Below are 21,718 nucleotides of genomic sequence, written 5' to 3'. Positions count from 1 at the left end.
AAACTGGTCTGAAAAGTCTTTAGTCTGAAGTTGGAGACACTTAATATCATGTAGATTTTCCTTATATATCAGTGCATCAGAAGAAAACTTTAAATTTTATGTTAATCAGAAGTAAATAAAACATACACTTTAAGGTCACTTTCAAGATTTTTTTCAAAATGAATCTTTAAAAATATGCATGTTTATTATTTCCTGGGGCAGGAACTTATTTACAGTTTAAGTACAAAAATTTTTTGAAATAGACAAAAGTAGCTTAGAAGTAGTCTTATTTATTTTCCCCTTATCCATAAGGCTTTTCTTGCTCTTGATTTAGGTGAAATGGAAAATGGCAATGATAGGCAGCTACACAGTTATTTTGTTGCTAGGCTACACATGTGCCCATTTAACCTGCTTCCTGAGAGAGCACAGTTTCCAGAATGCTACGTAAAAATACTCCTTTATTTCCTGGGAGGGGAAAAAAAAGAGAGTTGACATCCTCTCTAGACTACATTTGTTTAGCAGGTTAGAGAGGGCATGAAAGATGAAAGATATGTCCACAATGAGCAAACTTCAAAAAACCTGACAGCTCCCTATCTTACATGAAGTAACAGATGGGGACATGGTTGCGTGCGTATCAGTGCGTGTTCAGGGGTCTTCGGAACAAGGAGCAGACAGGAGCTTTTGCCTTCTGCTTGCTTTCTTCATTTTCTTTCTTTCATAACTGCCTGTTCCTCCAGCTTCTCACAGTTTTACAAAATACATAGAGGGAGCATTCTGGGTGTCTTTCCCCGCAGGCATAAACAGACACATTCTCTCTCTCTCTCTCATCTAAGGTATATTCCCAAAGTGTAAGTCAGCTTTATGTGAGCCTTGTAAAATGGATCTTAACAGGATTCCCAAAGTGATGATATACCTGGCTTATTAATGGTACATTCCACCCCTCAAATGTCCCCCATCCACTCCCACCCTCTCAGCCTCCCAATCGCACACCAGCACATATCCATCCTCTCTCTCCAGGTGCCAGTAACCCTCCTGGCTCCAACAATCAACACACTAAGGCTCTGCAGCCCCTTTCAGGCAACTGGCCTGGGATTCTGTCAGAAGATGAGATATCCCATCCCCCAGTATTCCAGGTCAACTCCCTTTCCCCATCTTCTTATCTATTATGCTTTGGGACTACAGGCCCCAGCCCCAAACTCTTCAAAGTTTTCATTGCAGGGATGCTGAGCTCCTACTCTGTCTGCTTTGCAGCAACCAGAGGTACCCTAAGCTTCCTCAAAACGATAGAGGCTCAATGGTTGTTGCTGGTGAATCAAATACTTGACCCATTTGTTGTAGACATTGTTACATCAATGTGTAATATCAATTTTTAAAATATCTGCACAAATATTAGTAGAAATACAAAAATCCCTTTAAAGAAATCAAATGAGTAAACATGACTATGATAATGCAATCATCCTTGAGATTTATGCGATTATCGTTTTGTACATGTACCATTTGTTCCCTTTATAAAAAGTGCATAGCTTTACTGCTGCTAACATTATGATTTCTTTTCTGCTGGGGACACTGCTTTTCAAGGTCTTTTGTCAAGTTTATAATATGTCCTATGTTTTTGTACAGTTTTAAATAAAGAGCTTGTTTTTCAGGTTTCAGATAAAAGCAACACTGATGTTTCATTGAAACAAGAAAAAAAGGAAATTCCTCTTTTAAACCAAGGTAAAAAAAAATCAGCTCATGTATATATATATATTAGCTATAATGTTTGAGACATTTTCAATATGGCTTGACAGCCTGATATATAGATCAGAAGTTTGTCAGCAACTTGGATTTTAAAAAATTAAGTTTGTTGTTCTAGAAGTGAGAGGAGTAGAGAGAGGGTGAGCTGCCAACCTTGTGTGTTTTGACGGGGCAGAGAGACACTTTCTGGCTGAGGACAGTGTCCCCAGCACTGCCACACTGCCTGAAATTTCCATAGACTTATGCCACTCTCTGTCTTGAATTCTCCTTCTAATTTTGATTAGGATTGATATCAGGTCAATAATTTTCAAAATCTGTTTTGAAAATTATGATGATGACAGTCCCCGTTTTTTCATCTTTTAGTAACTTTCTGCTTTTCGTGATTCTTCTGAGGTCCCTAAAAGTAGTTCAACAAACACATTTATTAGTTTTTTCATGCCCAGGGGATGTAATGTGTCTCAGGTAAAAGACTGGAACTTATTTAAGGCATGAAGTTTCCATCTGATAGTATTCAATCCAGTAATAATTCTGTGGATAGAGAAGCTGAAAACAAACTGGATTCAAAATATTTTATTTTCTTAGTGCTCATTATTATTACTGTAATTTTTATTATGCATTCTAATGTTATTATGCCATTATCTTTTAATTTTGATATTATACCATTGGACCCAAGAAACACATCCATTATTTTCATTGTCTTCATCTTCTTTTGAAATAAGTTTTAAAGATCTTAGTCTTCTTAGTCTCAGCTCATTTGGTTTCATCATTCCCAATCCTTTTCTTTATCAATCCATGCCATGGTTTTATGTTCTCTTTTGGTGGCACGTTTTTCCTTCCTTCATACTTTGTTGCTTAGGTAACCTAATCAGCTATTCATTCACAACTTTATGTTTGAACCCATTAGTGAGGTCCCTAAGAAATCACACTTTTTCTTTTTCATCTTAATTACAATAATTTGCAATTCCACCATCAGGATTTCTTTTGTAAGGGTGTCTTAATTTTAAAGCCAATCTTTTATAGACAGTTCAAACTACTACTGTGACTTCAAGTATGGTTCTGTTGGATTTCCAAATTGTACTAGAAAAATTGCTAATACAATTTTATCCTAAAATTAATATTTAATTTTAAATACTCATCCTAGGTTTGGCAGGAACAAATTGTGAAATGTTTTCAAATGACTATTATTTTGAATTAGTTAGCTGTTGGGTTAAAAATTTTCACTTTGCATTGCAAGTCAGTGAGTAAAACCAATGGTGCCTACAGCATGGTTGGAAAACATCTGTCCATTCATTCTTTTTCCTTAAAAGGGTCAGGCAGATCCTCAGCCATTTACCCACCATCTAGAACTTTGCTTGTTGATGTCCTCTTCTACTTAGCCTTCAATAACCCTAAACTTCTTGGTAAAGGTTTACTTGGTGGAACAAGATATCTGGACAGTTGTAATAAAGACTTCTACATGGAAGAAGGACACATTGACTCATTGCTTATACTGTCCCCAAGACACTCTTAAAACAATCCAAGTGGATCATAGAATTTCTGCTTTGCTGTGAGCTGGAAATAAATCACCAAGTTCTGTGAACCTATAATTCTGAGGTCCTCTGAGTGAGAAGACTAACTAAATGACTCTAGGTCTCTTCCTGCTTTAAAGTTCACTTTCCTACTGGAGACACATTTTTCATCGGGATCTGTCAGAATGTCTTTGAACCTGAACCCCAAATAGGAGAGAGTGGGTTATTGGGGGAAGATGGTTGTCTTGGTAGAGGCTGGTGAAAGCAGGGAATCAACAGTTCTGATCATACTCCAGGCTCTGGTAAAAAATGTCCATTTAAAAATTACCAAAAAAAAGCTACACTCTCTTGGATAACTATATATACTACATAAACTTTATTTTAAAACATTATAAACTACCTTAAGAACATATTATAGATCTCGTTACAACTGGTACAGTTTTATAAATGGATGTTTCAATACAAATCCATATTATACAGAGGTAGTTAATGAACTGCTAACATTTCTTTTGGTTCAGTTTATTGTGTGATCATCCAAATGCGATTGTTTGTCTATGTTCTTTTGAAGAAAAACAGGAGCTGTGCAATGATGTTCTAGCAATGAAAAGAAGCTCTTCATTACCTAGCTGGAAAAGGTGAGTGTACTACAGTTATACAAATTCCAAGTGAGTGCAATTATCCTGCTGAAAAGTAATTATCAATGTTTAAATACAAGAAGAAAGGAAATAATAGCAACAAAAGCAATCAAGAATGGAACCAAATTTTACAACAGAGATGTGAAAGAATTAGCAATACACCTTACCCCCAAACCTTTTCATTTCTTTCGTGAAGAACTGGAAATAATGAAATGGAGCTGGCTTAACTTCCTACCCACAGCAAGTAACCAATTCAAATTACTTTAATGTAGTCAAAGAACTGAAAATGTCACACATATATAAGGTATGATTATGAAATCATTAACTGATTTTTTTTTCTCTGTGGTTCATTATCTTATTGTCATACATACATGTAATTATAATCATTGTGTGCTAGAATTTTTTTGACATGAGAATTTTATCACTTTTAAAATGAAATCAGCTGAATGTTTTGGATATCCAATAGAATTAAAAGAATGTTTTAAAGGAAGCAAACTCTTATCCTCTGTACAAACCCATCTAAGCTGCTTTCCAGGCATTCAGACCCAGTTTCTCTGAATCCAAATCCTGTGCTCTTTGCATAGGAGCACACTGAATTAAGAGCAAGAAAAAACAGAGAGGGGCTATTTTCCTGCACTTGCTGACAGGGTAGTGAGTCAATCCAGCACTCAAACCTCATCACTTCACTCTTCCACTCCAAAGCCTTTTCAGCCCCTACTACTTTTAAGGTAAGTCACAAACTCCTTAGCATGGCACAGATCCTCTTCTCTCATGCCTCTACTTTTAGCCCCCACTTTGCTTCCCAAAGGGTTCTAAATTACTAGTAGTTCTCTTTTATTACATCTTCTCATCCCCCCTTTGTCTGTACCACTTCCTTTACTTGAATGCCCTCAGCAACTCATATGCCAGTGTCAGTTACCCTTTCATTTAAGTCTCAGTTCAAGTGTTCCCTTCTTTAGGGTCTCCTTGACTCTCCTCACCAAACTCAGGTATTCACAGAGTCACTGTTGCAATGATGAGATTATATTGTAATTTGTTCCGTAGTTATTTGTTAAATTCTGTGATCTGACATGCAGTGGTGAGCAGTGATCACAGTCAAGTGAAGTTATCTGTTTGAATCTCTGTCTTCCCATTGCATACAGGTTCCTAAAGGATAGAGGCCTTCTTGTCTTCTTCATAATTCTAAGCTTTTGAAAGGTCTTCTCTGACAACTCCATCTAAAGTAGCCCATCTCATTTCTGACAAGTCACACTTTTATCATCCTGTTTTATTTTTTTCAAAGCGTGTATTACTATTTTAAAGTATCTCCTTTACCACCTATTTCTTTTTACCATTTTTTAATTTTAGCTTGCTTATTTTCTCTATTTTTCACTAGATGCCAATGCACTCCATGAGAGTAGGGACTGTCTTGCTTATCCCTGTGTCTCTGATATCCAGAATGACACTGACTCATACTTGGCACTCAGTAATATTTGTTGATTAAATAAGTGATGTAACTTTTTTTCCCCAGTGCTGTTGCCAGGTCTTCTCATGGCCAATACTTTGACTTAGAATTATTTATGAAAATTTGCTTTACAATTTAAGAATCATCCAAAAACTAAAACACATTTGTGTGTATGCAGGTGTGTGTATGCATGTATATATTATTTCATGTAATACTTTTTGGTCTTTATGAGATTGTTTTTTTTTTGGAATCACTGTTGACTTGTAAATACAATATGAATGTTAGAAACAGTCCACGAAAAACAATCTTTTTTTTTTTGCATTTAAAAAAAAACCAAAACTAGTATATTCCTTTATGTGAATTTCACGAAGAAGCAAAAATAATCCATGGAGATAGAAATCAGAATGGTGATTGCCAAAGTGGGAATGGGTGAGGATTGACTGGAAAGGGGCCTTAACGACTTTTTGGGCTGGTGAAAATGTCCCATAACTTGATCTGGGTGATCGTTTCTTTCTTTCTTCTTCTTCTTCTTTTTTTTTTTTTTTATACTTTAAGTTCTAGGGTACATGTGCACAACGTGTGGGTTTGTTACATAGGTATACATGTGCCATGTTGGTTTGCTGCACCCATTAACTCGTCATTTATGTTAGGTATTTCTCCTAATGCTATCCCTCCCCCTGCCCCCCCCATCCCACGACAGGTCCCCGTGTGTGATGTTCCCCACCCTGTGTCCAAGTGTTCTTATTGTTCGATTCCCACCTATGAGTGAGAACATGCAGTGTTTTTTTGCTATTGTGAATAGTGCCACAATAAACATACGTGTGCATTGTGTCTTTATAGTAGCATGATTTATAATCCTTTGGGTATATACCCAGTAGTGGGATTGCTGGGTCAAATGGTATTTCTAGTTCTAGATCCTTGAGGAATTGTCACACTGTCTTCCACAATAGTTGAACTAGTTTACACTCCCACCAACAGTGTAAAAGCGTTCCTGTTTCTCCACATCCTCTCCAGCATGTTGTTTCCTGACTTTTTAATGATCGCCATTCTAACTGGTGTGAGATGGTATCTCATTGTGGTTTTGATTTGCATTTCTCTGGTGACCAGTGATGATGAGCGTCTTTTCATGTGTCTGTTGGCTGCATAAATGTCTTCTTTTGAGAAGTGTCTGTTCATATCCTTCACCCACTTTTTGATGGGGTTGTTTATTTCTTGTACATTTGTTTGAGTTCTTTGTAGATTCTGGATATTAGCCCTTTGTCAGATGTATAGATTGCAAAAATTTTCTCCCATTCTGTAGGTTGCCTGTTCACTCTGATGGTAGTTTCTTTTGCTGTGCAGAAGCTCTTTAGTTTAATTAGATCCCACTTGTCTATTTTGGATTTTGTTGCCATTGCTTTTGGTGTTTTAGTCATGAAGTCCTTGTCCATGCCTATGTCCTGAATGGTATTGCCTAGGTTTTCTTCTAGGGAAAAACAATCTTAATGGAAGAAACTTATCAAATGCATTACTAATGATGGTGATGATAAAGATGATCATAACAACAAAAATAGGTATTATTTACTGACCACTTACACTAAACATTGAGCTACATTCTTTGTATATCCTCAGTACAACTCTATAAGGTAGGCCCTATTATTATTCAACAGAACAAGAAACAGAGGTTTAGAGAGGAATCTCCTGTGCTCTAGTATAGTACTTTTTACCCTTCAACCTCAATGCCAACATGAATGAATCTTTAACATCCCTAAAATGGTTAAAGAAAAAGACTTCTTTAATGAAGTGTCAGCATAAAGAAGGTTATAACTAATGAGCATTCAGACATTGTGTAAATATTCTTTAACAGGCAATTAAGCATTAGTTTATATAATGTTCTTAATCTTAAAAAAATCAGCAAAGTTAGACAGTATAATTAATGCCAAAGAGCTGTTGACAGTAGAAGCACATTCCGTTTGATATAAACTGTTATCCAATTTTAAAAGATCCTCATCTTATAAACATGTAAAATTCTCTAGAGCTGTGATCTTAATTTATGGACATCAGCATGAAAGGATTACAAAAAAAAATCTTTTTATTACTTGACAAACAAAACCCTTCATGATCTGACCTCTACCTGCCCTCCCCAGCTCCATTTCCCATGTCGTACTGCCCCCAGACTCTTGTACTTTTTTCCCCCTATGGTACTGAAAGCTTTAGTCTCATCAACAAACTATACATCCTTACCGTGAGTTATTTTTCATGCTGCAGCCATGTATCTTTTTAAAACCTGCATCAGATCACCTTGTTCCCATGCCTGAAAACTTCCAATGGTAGTGCCCACTCTGCTTCAAAGAAACTCTAGTTCCCTCCCCATGCCCACGATGCCCTGCAATCCCAACACTGACCGTTCTCATCTCATCTCTTTCCATCTGCTTCCTGCTCACTCCAGCCCAGTAGCTCTGAACATTCTTCTTCCTCTTCCAGATCATGACTAAGTATTTCTCTCAACTTACTTTGTTCTTTTTCTGTTTTATTCTATGCTTTTCTCTCAGGCTAAAATAAACTTTAGTTTAAAAGTCTCTTGCATTCTTAGTTAAGTGATTTTTTCTGGTAATATTGTAACCACATCGCAGGTTCACTTGCCCACTGCTTGCAGAGTCTAATTAACAAGAGCTAGGTCTGGTGTAAAGAAAGTGACTTTTTATTCCAAAGCTAGCTTAGGGGAAGAAGTATGGGCTTCCTGCCTTAAGGGTACCACTTCACCTTTGCAGCAGAAAGTGGACACTTTTAAAGGGGGCCTATCATGAATGGCACCTCAGGGGAGGAGGTGAGCAGGTGTGTGGGTCCCCATGCTAGCTTGGTGCCTTATCTACTGGGCAGTTGAGTTAGCATTTCATGGGCAGAAATAGGTTGTAAAGGTGGCTGAAAACTCTCTAGGTGGGAGAGAGTTTCGTAGTGGGACTTTGGATTGTAAATCAACTGTTACCTCTGGAGGCAGTCTCCTGGTGGCTGAAAGTTCCACTCTGGAGCTTCTAAGCATAAAGTTACATGAACTTGCCCTCTAGGGAGTTTCTGGTGAAGGGGAGGTAAAAGGTTATAATTGTATTTCTAAAGGACTATGTAGGTAAGTGGGGAATGGGGAAATGGAGAAAAGAGAAAATAAAAAATAATAGTAACTCATTTTCTTTTTCCTAGAAAAATGGGGCTACTTGGTTACAGTATGTTTTAATTTGTTGCTTTTTAAGTATATCCATTGTAGATTTTTGCCATATGGTTACCATGAGGCTTACAAAAAATATTGTATAGTTGTTTAACAGGTTTAAAAAGTCTCTTTCATCAAGTGAAAGACAAGTAGTATATGACTACTGTTAAAAATAAATTATCACCAATTCCATTTAATTGTCACTACCTAAAAACTTTGAAAAAAATATGTGACTGGAATAAATATAAATTCTTCTAATTAAGAATTTGTTTCATGTAACTACAGTGGTGGCAGTTTTCGGCATTACACGCATGTTCTTGTTCTCATTTGTTGTATATGAACATTTCACTCATTTTTGTATATTAGTGTTTCTGAAATTATTAATACCTAACATGATTTCTACTTTGAAATGACAAACCTCAGCTTGCTCAATGTGCCGATGGAAGATGTGAATCTAAGTTCTGGACACATAGCCAGAGTTTCTGTGAGTGGCAGTTGTAAAGTTGCTTCTTCGCCAGCGTCTTCTCAAAGCACACCTGTCAAGGAAACAGTGAGAAAACTGAAGTCTAAGTTAAGGTAAAGATATTTACTCACATATTTCCACATGCTTTGTTTAACTTTCTAAGCAGTGACAACTCCTGTTGTTTTCCCTACTGAGTTTTAATGATACTGAATAAATTCAGTAGAGTGACATTATGACTTGTCTCCTAACTATGCTGATTTAGATATACTATGGGTTAAATATCCCTTGTAATAGAACTGGTAACTGCCTGTTGTTACATAGTCTGGCAGTATGGTGGACATTAGTCTTCTCTTGAATGTAATAAATAATTTTTACTGAATTTTCTTTCTTTTTTCCCCAACAAAGGCTCTTATGACATTGTATGGCCTTTTAAAAACTCTGGGTTTTTTTTGGTTTGTTTTAGTCTTGGATACTGAACTTATTGAGGGAAATTGAGTTTTACTTGTTTTGTTCTGTGTAGAATGTTAACATTTGTGGACATGGTATTTGAGGAATTTAAATGTCTGGGTCTCATTTCTCAAAGGATGGAGACAAGGAGAGGAAAAAGTTCATGATTCAGGGTTTTTCCAAATAGAGACTGATAATAGATGGGGGCCTTAAAATCAAGTCAAAGAAGTCTATATACAGACTTGTGCTCTAAAATAGGTGCCATATGGGAGGGTGGGAGGTGGGGCTGGTAGCACCACTAAATTAATGTACCTCATTGGTTTTGTTGGGATCCACAGACTTTTGTTGGGTTTTAAGGGTCTTGTGTGGGGTGAGATGCTCGGGCCAGGGAAAACAAACAACATGCCCTACCTGGAATGGTATTTTTCCTTAGGATAGCTACTTGATTTTTTCGTCAGTGATTGACATGATCTTCCTGAAGATGAGAGTTCTCAAACAGTAGAAGCAGGTAGGAAGAAAGAGAAAGGTGGAGGAGAACACGTACATAGGGACTGTAGCCTCTACTAAGGCCCAGGCTGTGGTCCTGTTTATGAGAGGAGACTGCTAACCCCAGTAGACTTGAACTCAATTCCACAGATGCCATGGGTGTGGTGAAAGTCTTTGTAGCAGCATCCAGAGTGCAGGGCTGTGATTACTACATGGGCATGAAGACCCCACCTGCTGTCTCATGCCTAACACCAGTCCTGCCCCAGGAGGGAGGAAGCACTCCTGGTTACATGTGGAAGGACCTTGTAGAGGGATCTATTTTCACTACTGACACTAGGGATCCAGAGACAAGTTGTTGATGGAGCAATGAATACAGACTGCTACATTCCAGAACACCAAGTTCTGACCACCAAATATCCCTTTCGGTCTGGTTGGCAGTCTTCCACTAGCCTGGAAATGGGACAAAAGCAGGCCAGACCTCAGCATGGTTCAGGCATTATAAGGTTGAAAAAGGCCTTGGCCGGGCGCAGTGGCTCATGCCTGTAATCCCAGCACTTTGGGAGGCCGAGGTGGGCGGATCATGAGGTCAGGAGATCGAGACCATCCTGGCTAACACGGTGAAACCCCATCTCTACTAAAAATACAAAAAATTAGCCAGTCAGGGTGGCAGGCGCCTGTAGTCCCAGCTGCTAGGGAGGCTGAGGCAGGAGAATGGCGTGAACCCGGGAGGCGGAGCTTGCAGTGAGCTGAGATCGCGCCACTGCACTCCAGCCTGGGTGACAGAGCAAGACTCCATCTCAAAAAAAAGCCACTTATCCAATGATCTAGATAGATGTCAGTATTATACTGCTGTAGCTTACAGTATAATCCCTAAAGAATGGGATTCTCTAACTAGTTTCCCACCCTCTGCCTGTATTTTTCTAGAAGTGGTATTTAAGGTCCTCAGCTTTGAAGTTGGATTGCTGTAAATTTGAACCCTGATATGTTACTGGTCCTAAAATTCAGGCCTATTGGTTGGTCACTAAAGCATAGTAGTATACAGTAAATTTTATATGCATGTGCCTGTATATATTTGAATAAATGTGAGTATCATTAAAAATGTATAGATATGACCACATGTTCAATTATTCGGACATTACTACAAGTGAATCAGGCCTTCTTAATAATAGTAGCTATCACACCAGGCACCGTGGCTCATGCCTATTATCCCAGTACTTTGGGAGGCCAAGGTGGGAGGATTGCTTGAACAAGCAGTTCGAGATCAGCCTGGGCAACATAGCAAGACCCTGTCTCCATAAAAATAATAGTAACAATAATAGCTATAACAATAATAGCTATCAGGTTTGAACCTTTATTATATTTCAGGCATCCACCCACTTACTTTTTATAAATTAGTTTCTATTCTCACAAATTCATGAGAATGGTGTTATTTTTAAATATTGTGTATGGATGAGGAGACTGAAACTTGGAGGAACTAACACATTACAAGTCTCATGGACAATTACACAAATATGAAGGATGGGGCTGGGGTTTAAGGCAAGGCTTTCTGATTTGGAATCCCATGCTCTTAATCATATATAGCATATACCCTCTCTTCACACTAGGAGACCTAGAGAGACCTGTCTGAGTGTGTTGCAGCAGAGTTTGGATGCATAGCTACTTAAATTTCTTTTTCAGATAGATCAACTTTCTTTTTCAAATTCATTATTTTCCTGATTTTTTTTCTTGGCTAATTTTTATTTGTCTAAGTGTAACATTTCTATTAATTTTAGTGAGTTACATGTGATCAAAAAGGGGATAATCTGATTGAGTGTACTAAGACTTTAAATTGCATCCACTTCTATCATTAGGCATCACTAGAAAATTAAAATTTCCCAGAAACTCTAATGAACAGGCAGACTCTTTATTGCTTAGAATCATCATACTGTTACCAACTGAGCACTCTGAAAGCTGAATGCGTTAATATATCAGCTCTATTCTGTACCAGCTTAAATTTTGTATGGTGATTATTTTATTAAAAATATTCTATGATAAAAAAATTTGGACAGAACACAGGATTTAACTGAAACAAAATGAGCTCCTTGTCATACCAGTTTTCTCTTTTGCTTTCAGCAACATGTAGTATGTTTTCTCAAATTTCACCAGTGAAAACAGATTTCTTGTTTTCTTTGTAAGGTATTTTGTTGTTTTTCTTGTTGTTGTTTTTGTAGTATTATTTGCTATTTTATATCTGGTCCACATGTAATTTCTTGAATTTACTAGACTTTTAGTTTTTCAAGGCATGAAGATTGTGGTCAGCTGTGTACAATGTAAAGGGTATAAAGTATAAAGAAATACTCAGAATTGTTTACCATATTTACCTTTCTTGTCACATGATAAAAAAGAGTAGTAGTTAGAGACCTTTGAAGTATAAAGGGTGTTCCCTCCATTTGGGTCACTTTGGACGTGACGTCATCCTTATCAATTTCCACAATGCCAAGGTAGTGTCTGGCCATCTCTGTGTAATTAATGCTAACAATTAATTAAAAATGTAGTTTTTACTGTACATACTCATTACCTAATTATGCTCAGTCAGGCATTTTCCTGTCTTATATTACTTCTTGCTTTTTGTGTATTAGTTTGTTGACTTCCCAAATAAAGTAACATCTTTGAAAACAGATTGAATTGTCAACAGTATGTCTAACATATATCAGCATATATTTAAATAATACTTTTAATTTAATTGAAAGGGATTCATGTAAAAAGCAGTAAATAGTATTACTGGATGTTAAAATACTTTTAAATATTGGAGTGCAACTGAGTGGTGTTAAGTTAGTGGTACATAAGCTGAACTGGTTCCAGACTATTAAATTTTATCAGATGATCCTAAACATTGGAGTAGTATTACATTTCAAATCTCTTTCAATAATAATAATAATAGCAATAATATTAGTAATAATACATATTTGTTATGCACTTACTATATGCTAGGCACAGTCCTAAGGGCTTTGCATATGATAGCTCAGTCATCTTACAACAATCCTATAAATAGATATTTTTATTATCACCATTTTGCAGATGAGAAAACTGAGACATGTAGAGGATAAGTAATTTGCCTAGCATTATATAACACTTAAGTGACAGAGCTTGGATTTGAACCCTGGCAATCTGACCTCACAGTCCTTGCTCTTAACTGTTGAAATGTAATGCCTTGTTTTGGTTTATTGTTGTGTATGTAAACTTGATAAGGCAGACTCCATTTATTTCATCTCTATAAAATATAAACATGCTTTTTGTTATCTTAGATTTTTAAAATACCAAAAAAAAGTTTTAAAAAGAAAGTAACTTTTTAACATTTCTGCCAGTTGTTAAAGGAAAAGGCCATGAAAATACATATACTAGCAGTTGAGGTCTGCCAAAAAACATTATTACAACTGTGCCATTTCCATTTCATACTAGTCTTTTACTGAGTTAAGGAAGACAGTTTTGGTCAACCTCCAGTAGGAGGCTTGCTCTTCTCCTCAGCTAGGACTAAGCTAATTAACTAGGTTATTGTTTAAAAGAACAGCTGGATGACCAGGTAACTCTATGGACTCCTGCCCATGTCTACCATGTTTAGAAAGAGTAGAGTTGTATCAACATGGGTCAAAGATTTTTCTTAGTAAAAATTATTTTGTTGAGAAAGGAATATGACTATGGAGTGAAATGGAAATGGCCCTTAGCTGGAACTTTTCAAAGCTTGGCCATAATTTGTAGAGATGGTGTTGATTTAGTGGTTCAGCTCACTTAACTAAACTCTCTAAAAACTTTGAATTCAAACTTGCAGATATAGATGTGGATTCCACAGAAATTCATCTGAGATGGGCTTCATAGCCAAGATTCTGAATGAAAGTAACAACTTTGGAAGATATCTTTAAGATATTTATTTCTTGAATTCTTGAGAAGAAAGACAATGTTAAACAAAGACAAATTTCTGATTTTATTATCAACTCTGGGCGTAAAATTCTGAGTAAATGCTTCAAGAGAAGGACTATTCCTGTTCCTAAGTGGGACAAAAGTCCCATTGAAATGGCAGCACTTGGTTCAGGAGTTGCCCCAAGTGCATCTACTTAATGCAGTGGATACTAGTGAATGAATCCAGGTTTATTCCTATAATTTTGTGCTTCGTGTCTCCTGGCCCACCTTTAAATGTACTTTATGGATTCCTGGCTCACTGTGTCTGTTCTAGGGGAAATCTCAAGTTTGAGGATAGAGAGAGGTTTGATAAGATGTACCCTCAAGAGCAAAGAAAGTATTGCTGAAGAATATCATTCAAGAAAGGGACTCAAGACAATAAAACTGAAGTAATTTTTAAAGAGTTCTTAAGCATCTACAATCAGACCCTACGTATGTGATTTTTGGTATCCTATAGGTTTTTACAGAATCTAATTGCTTTCCTGAATTAATTTTACAGGAAAATGGAAAGGCCTGTGTGTTTGTGTTTAGAGACTGCAAGTTGCTGGGTAATTTGTCTTCCTCTCTAGTCAGTCTTACAGACCAGAATCTCCAAGGGAGAAGCTATTTAGGAGCAATCTGATGTGGAAGAGAGTGAAAGGCTCAATACCAGGGAGTCCAGGAGGGAGACAGACACTGAAGGAGGGTCCAGGGAACTTGCTTGGGCCTGGTGGGGGGGTGGGGGTGTCTGTAATAGCCAGGAAATCAGAGAAAATAGGAATAATTCCTCAATCAAAGAGTTTCCATAAAGATTACATGAAACTATGTGTAGAAAATGATAGCAGTGCTTAGCACAATTCTAGTACTTTATAAAGAATAGTTGGATTGGCCGGGTGCGGTGGCTCACGACTGTAATCCCAGAACTTTGGGAGGCCAAGGTGGGTGGATCACTTAAGCCCAGGAGTTTGAGACCTGGGCAACATGGCAAAACCCCATCTCTAAAACAAAAATAACAAAAATGAGCTGGGTGTGGTGGCGTGCGCCTGTAATCCCAGCTACTCAGGTGGGTGAGTTGGGAGGATTACTTGAGCCCAGGAGGCCGAGGATGCAGTGAGCTGAGATCACGCACCACTGCATTCCAGCCTCAGCAACAGAGTGAGACTCAGTCTGAAAAAAAAAAAAAAAAACCAAAACAAAGCAAACAAAAAACGAACAAAAAAACACCAAGAAAAAATACTTGAATCTGACCAACTTTTTGGTCAGATTTTTTCCCAAAGAAAAATACAAAATTCTCTGGTGTATGGTGCAGGTGGCCTGGAATACTTCCTTCACATGCCCCCATCTGCTACACCTGGCTAACTCCCACTCTTCCTTTATCACTACTGAAATATGAGTTAGAACCCCTTCTTCTGGTCTCCATGGTGCACCTTTCTCATTGTCCTCCAAGCATTTATCACATGGTATTGGAATAGCTTGCTTTCTTGTCTCTATTGCCCCACTAGGCCAAATCAGTTCAGTAAGATTGTATTGGGTTCCTGGCATGGGGGCATGATGCCAGGCTCTGTGGGGCACTGAAGGTCAAAGGTGTTTTAGTAGAGGTTTAAAGAATGTCTGTGGAATTAATGAGTTGAGAAAATGCAAAATGGCAAAAGGTACTGTGATTTCAGTAAACATGAAATCGTGTTTAAAGATATCTATTATGTGTCTAATTTTAGAAATAATAGTACATGTGTAAGACAGTATTCAGACTATAGATGATGTTTGCTGTAGATTTTGAAATAGAGATGCCACAGATTGAAAGTAATCGAGAACTAATCCAGAACTTTTTCTCACCCCAATTTTCTCCTTTGGTTTTTCCCCTTCCCTAGTAAATGCTGCCATCTAATATTTATTTGTCTAAGAGCGTTTTCTTAGGGGATTTCTGATTTGCTCTAAATTTAAAGGCAAAAGAATTTATACTCACAATGGAAAGAACCAATGCTCTGAAAAGGTTTCAAGCCTGTGGTGGGGAAAGGGAGCCTGAATTTGAGGAGAAGCAAGGTTTAGTTTGTGTAAAAGGTCTCTCACCCCTCCTGCTCCAACAAAACGGCCGTAGTGTTGACCCAGGTGTTCTTTCCCAGGAACTCCTGTTGCAACTTTTCTTTTCATATGATTTCTTCTCATCTCATATACCTGGAAGCTGCTCCACCTTTTTTAAATCCTGTTCCTACCCCATTTATCTTCTTGCTAGCCAGACAAATAACTCTAAGGAGTGTTGTATGTCATATTTAATGTTTGGGCAATGCCAAGAATTTTCAGCTTTTCGGTTTGAATCTCCTTGAAATTATAAATATGTATTAATACAAATAATATACTTAAAGTATGGGGAATATAAATTGTGGAAGAAAGAGCTGTTTTCTCTTTGGTATACCATATTATTTTACAACTGGAAAAATTTTGCAAATCCCTTAGATAATATACATGAGGCTCTTGGAATACGTCAGCATTAGAATACTATACACTTTAAGATGTGGTGGCTGTAAATTTCTAGATCTCATATTCTCCCAGGAATGAAATATGTGTCATATAGGTGATTAATCCTAGAAAAGCTGTCACAGTAGAAGGATGGGTGCTATTGTCCTTTGACAAAATGAAGCACCTGTCAGAACAATGGCCACCACTGTTTAGAAAGAGCAGGGTCCATGTATGATTTCTAAGAGTAGTCTTGGAGTCCCTTATGCAAAAATTACTCTGGAGACTTAAACTCTTTGGTTTTTCTCAGGAAAAAAGTCAGTAAGTCTGTAGTCAGCCTACTTTCTTCCAGGAAATTTGCAATGCTGAGTTCTCTGCAGAAGAGAACACTCAACTAGGTACAGGCCTTTCCTGGACTGGTTGTTCATGGATTGCGAGGCATTGTGAGGTTGGCTGGTTTCTTTTCTTTTTTTTTCTCCTCCCTGCCTCCCTCCCTCCCTCCCTTCCTTCCTTCCTTCCTTCCTTCCTCTTTCAGTAACCTTTTTATTTTGAGATAAATGTATGTTCACATTAAGTTGTAAGAAATAATGCTGAGAGATCCCCTGTACCCTTCACCTAGCTTCTTGCAAAACTCTGGAACAGAATCACAATCAGGATATTGACATTGATGCAGTCAAGATACAGACCAGTTCCTTTGCCAGAATGGTCCCTCCTATTGCCTTTTTATAGCCACACCCACCTTCCTCTCCCCAGTCTATGCTTTCTGAAGAACACTTTGATGTCAGTGATAAAAACAAAATGTTTGGGGGGAACTAATGTTCATCTTTGCCAGGATATTTAATACCCAGGAGACAAACCCAGTTCTGACAGTTGAGTGCTACCTCTGTTATCCTAGTATATTCCCATATCTGCTGTGCTTGTATTCCTAGGGAGATTCTTCTGTATTTTTTTCCTGAGCATCAGCTACCATCAGAATTGGAAGAACCTGCATTAAGTTGTGAGGTAAGCTGGTTTTTTTTGGAACTGTGAGGGAATGATAGAATAGCCTGAATCTCAGTGAAGAAAAATGTAAAGTGTTTCCAATAAGAGGACCTAGAGTGGCTTAAGTGAATAAAGATGAGCATCTTTATACCAAATGGTGATTCATAATTAAAGCTATATTTGAAATTATTGTGGCTGTGAGTTAAACAAGGTGGAAAATATCTTACAGACAGATAGTTGCAGAGATGAAAAGAAACAGGACATAGTCCCTGACTTCTCTCTCCCCCACCAAAAACAGAGTTTCTGTTCCTTAGATACATCTCCTCAGCTGCTTCTTATGAGCAGCTGAGCTGAGGATTGGGTAGGTCAGGCACATTAGGTATCCAAAGCACTAATCTTACCGAAATCACCAAGACATCACTGAGATAGATGAAGAAAATTGTGTTTACCAAATCTCCTCTCAGGAACAGTACCAGATGTGATTGGAAAGAAAACTTTGAACAGCTGCTTGGGGTGCAAAGAGTAAGCCTCACATCTATTGGCTATGCTTAAGTAACAGTGAGTAGTCTACAAAGGGCTCCCGCAGGGCTGTGGTGAAGTTGAGTGAGGTGCACATGCCTGACAAGCTGCTCAGCAGAAGTGGAGGGAAGAGCTGCCTAGTGCAGGAGGGTGGGAGGCCTTTTCTCCACCTCCATGCTCGGTGTTGCCTGTGGAGATGATGGATACACTTGGTATTGGTGAAAATAGCACAAATTATGAATGCAACAGAGGGACTATATGAGTCTGATCTTGGGCACAATCCCTAATTTTCTAGTCTGTAATCATTGTTTCTGCCTCTTTACCCTCTACTCTCACCTCATCCTCTCCCGTGGGGCTTCTGATTCCACAGCTGAACTATGACTGTTCTTGTCAGGGCCACCAGTGACCTCTTGATAAGTGCAGTGTCACTCTTACCTGACCTGTCAGAGGCCTTCAACCTAGGTGACCACTTTCACCTTCTTGAAGCACCTTCTTTGTGTAGCTCCTGTGACTGCACACTGCCCATTTTATTTTTTATTTATTTTTATTTTTATTTTTTTTGCTTTCCTCCCTCCCATCTTCTTTGTGGCAGCTCCTGTTGTACACGGTTTCTCAATGTTGGCATGTCTGAAGGCTCATTCCTGGGCCACTTTCTTTTCTCTATTAAATGCTGTTTCTAGGTAACCTCGTCTAATTTCTAACTTTAAAATATTAATACTACCCCCCACATGCCAGTGACTTCCCCATCTGTTTCTCTGACACTCCCTTCCAAGAAACCCAGACTCCAGCTGCGCTCTCGACATCTCCCTTTGAATATTTATTATTTTATCGCTTAATTTTCCTTCACCTTGAGTTTTGTATCTGCACAATTTTTTAACTGTGCTGTATTCATTTATGTAAGCTGACTTAATCCTTTTTTGGAAGGAAGCAAAGTATAATTTAGTTAATTAATTTAATTAGACCCAGACTTAAAAGGCCCATAGTACCAATGTTGGCCAGTTCTAGGCTTTGATGCTTTTTATACTCAATGCTTGTGTGATATAACTCTGCTGTAGACAGCACATTCTCTAAAAGCTAATATCCTGTTCTATTATCATTTATGAAAACAGCTGGAGCAGTGCCCAGAGCAGATGAACAAAAAGCTGAAAATGTGTTTCAACCAGGTAAGCTTCCTTTCAGTATCACCATTTATATTCTAAATGATCCTGTGTTCGAAAGGATAAATAATGTACATTTCCAAATGTTAGGTTTGAAAGGAAATCAAATTTGCATTCACTTATCGAGACTTAGATTAATGTATAGCTTATCAGGTGTCATAAAGCAACATATTTTTGAATTTTAAAATACTAACATTTCTATAACATAAAGCTATGAAACACTTGGAGTAGGACTGTATCTTGAATAGGAAACAGGACATTCTGAGCTTTTAAAGAAATATTTTCACCGAATCCTCAAAATGCTAGACTGAAGCAGAAATTTTAAAGTTTTAAATTATTTCCAACAATTTGATATCGCTCTGAGTTTTTTAAGTACCTTATCAATAGTTTTTAAGTTAGTGATTTTTCCATTCTAAAAGTAGACATAAAAGTAATTAATGCTAATATAAGAAGTAAAAGCAATTTTTAAAAATTCATCCATAGCCTCAAGCCATTCCAAGATCACTGATATTAATATTTTTATGTATTTCCTTACAACCTTTCTCTTCCTCTGGGTAGATTTTTTTTTAACAGTTATCAAATAATGCTGTGTATCTAGTCCTTAAGGATTTCCTGGGGGAGAAAGAGTCCAGAGTGCCCTTCAGTTCTACTACAGAAGTATCTCAAAAAATCATATGTCCTCAAATCCCTTATTTTACACTTAATAATAAAAAAAAAAACCCTGGTACTCCAAGATGTGAACTTGGCCAAGCTGATGTAGGGGATGAATGTTGGAGCCAGGATGGCCATGAAGATTCCCAGATTCATCGCACAGGCCAGAGTAGTCAAGAACTTTGACACCAGGATCAATACTGAAATGTTGGGTCTTTGTTGACACTTTACCTGTGCTTTCTCACCTAATCACTAGCTCCATATTAGTGCATCCATTAGCATCTTCTTCTGTATGCTTATGTTTACAGCCATCTTTAGAAAGCTCTCATATAATGAAAATCTGTAAAGATTGAGAGGTGACTGGCCCTTCCTGGAGTTGTGCAAAGAATGACTCTAAGCAGAGACACTGCCTCATAGTTTTTATAGGTAATGGAGTACCTTTGCATTTGATCTTAGCCAAAAGTCCAAGAAGCAATTACAATGGAAGACATCTGAATATTCTTGTTTTATAAGTGAAAAAGAATGGTGAAGTAAATTCCCAAAAGACATACAACTAGGCAAACTTGACAAGTAGAACCTAAACCATATTCCTTCTTACAAAGACTGTATCACACAGTATTTAAAGTTCAGACTGGGCCTAAATTTAACAACCCTTGTTCATACGTTTGCCTTTGATGTTTCTATCAACTGGACGGTGATAAACAACTGGAAATAAAAGGGGAGGTGTAATTATTGGTCTCCCATTACTGTTCAACTGAAAAGTGAATTTATTTTTTGAATAACATTTTGCTGTAAAAGCAGTAACTGAACATTTTCAGTTTGAAGAGTTACTTGTCAACATTTCCTAACAAGAATAAAAGACAAAGTTTACTTTCAATATATTTTGATGCTGTTCTACCACTAATATTATTTTCATCAATAATGTAAAACTGGGATTGATTGATTGGGAGCCACTAGAGCTGCCAGGCACTGAACTAGGTCTTTTCTATATTAACACATTTATCCTCACAACTTTGGTAGGTAGGTACCACTATCTCTTTTAGCAATGAGGAAATAGAGATTCAGAAAGATAATATCCCAGTGTCATGATCAGATTCAGAACTGGAGCCTGATTTTTCCCGCTCCAAAGTTGTTTTCATTCTACTTTTTTTCAACTTTTTTTTGCCCACCCCCTCTATTTTCGTGTCGCTTGTTTTTGTCTTGAAATAGGATCTTGCTACATTGCCCAGGCTGATCTTGAACTCATGGGTTCCAGCAGTCCTCCTGGCTTAGCCTTGAAGTGGCTAGGATTACAGGCTTGTACCACCACACCTGGCTATTTCATCTTAGTCTCATCCAGACTTGAATACTTCATCTTTGTGATAGAGGTCACATGTATTACTTGCAATAAGTATATTACAACTTCTCAGCCTGTTGGTGTAGAAAAATTATTTTTAAGTTACTAGAGACCTGACATTACATCATGAGACATATATTGAGGAGATGCTGACAGTAATATATTTCTGTGGGGTATGTGTGGTAGATGGGTTGGCGTATTGGCCCACCAGGAATTCATTGTCCCAACCGAAAGTCTGTGGCAGTCAGCTTGAGGAGCTTATCTGTAAGGCTCCTGGATCTTCCTGTAGCTCTCCACTTACTGGTTAGGGGACTCTGATTTGAATGCACTGTAAAACTTTGAAATTTGCTAAGAATTATACTGTCATACAGCTGTTTATCCAAGCTTATATATACCGTTTTATATCTGTTTCTAAATATTTTTTCCAATGTCTACACCATTAGTAATGGAGCCAGAGTGAATAAGACATGTGTTTATTCAGGGTGAACAGAGTTAGCATAGATGATGAGCAGTATCCCCTTAACATGCAGGACAAGTCGGATTAAAAAATCAAAGCGAGATAAACAGTCAGGAGACCAGCAGTTCCTACTGAAATGAGATCTTGTAAGCAAAACACAGAACAACTTGATTTAAGGTGTGTGCATTTAATAAAGAGAGCCACATCAAAGCACGGGAGAAACTTACATAAGTCACTGGCTTCTTTGGTCACAACAGTGGTTTTCATAACTACTATTGTAGTAGTAGATGATTCATAATAGCATTGGTGGTCCTGCATCACCTGACTCAAACCATTATCTTTTATTCTTTCCTCACAGGCCTCTGTTCCATCTA

At 37.7% G+C, this 21,718-nt stretch overlaps 1 protein-coding gene across 11 annotated transcripts in view; it reads left to right on the top strand.

Annotated features, from left to right (window-relative positions):
* MORC1 (MORC family CW-type zinc finger 1) overlaps positions 1-21,718 on the top strand; it is a 159,887-nt gene that overhangs the window by 129,560 nt on the left and 8,609 nt on the right. For all 11 annotated transcript variants that reach the window (NM_014429.4, XM_005247362.3, XM_047447968.1 and 8 more), the window contains 5 exons: positions 1,626-1,695; positions 3,793-3,859; positions 8,908-9,060; positions 17,173-17,245; positions 18,853-18,906. In NM_014429.4, the coding sequence (NP_055244.3) occupies positions 1,626-1,695; positions 3,793-3,859; positions 8,908-9,060; positions 17,173-17,245; positions 18,853-18,906 (417 nt within the window). The remainder of the gene's footprint in view (positions 1-1,625; positions 1,696-3,792; positions 3,860-8,907; positions 9,061-17,172; positions 17,246-18,852; positions 18,907-21,718) is intronic.

This window comes from Homo sapiens, chromosome 3 (genome assembly GCF_000001405.40).
Source record: "Homo sapiens chromosome 3, GRCh38.p14 Primary Assembly".
NCBI classification, from domain to species: Eukaryota; Metazoa; Chordata; class Mammalia; order Primates; family Hominidae; genus Homo; species Homo sapiens.
This window is presented reverse-complemented; position numbering and strand designations above follow the sequence as displayed.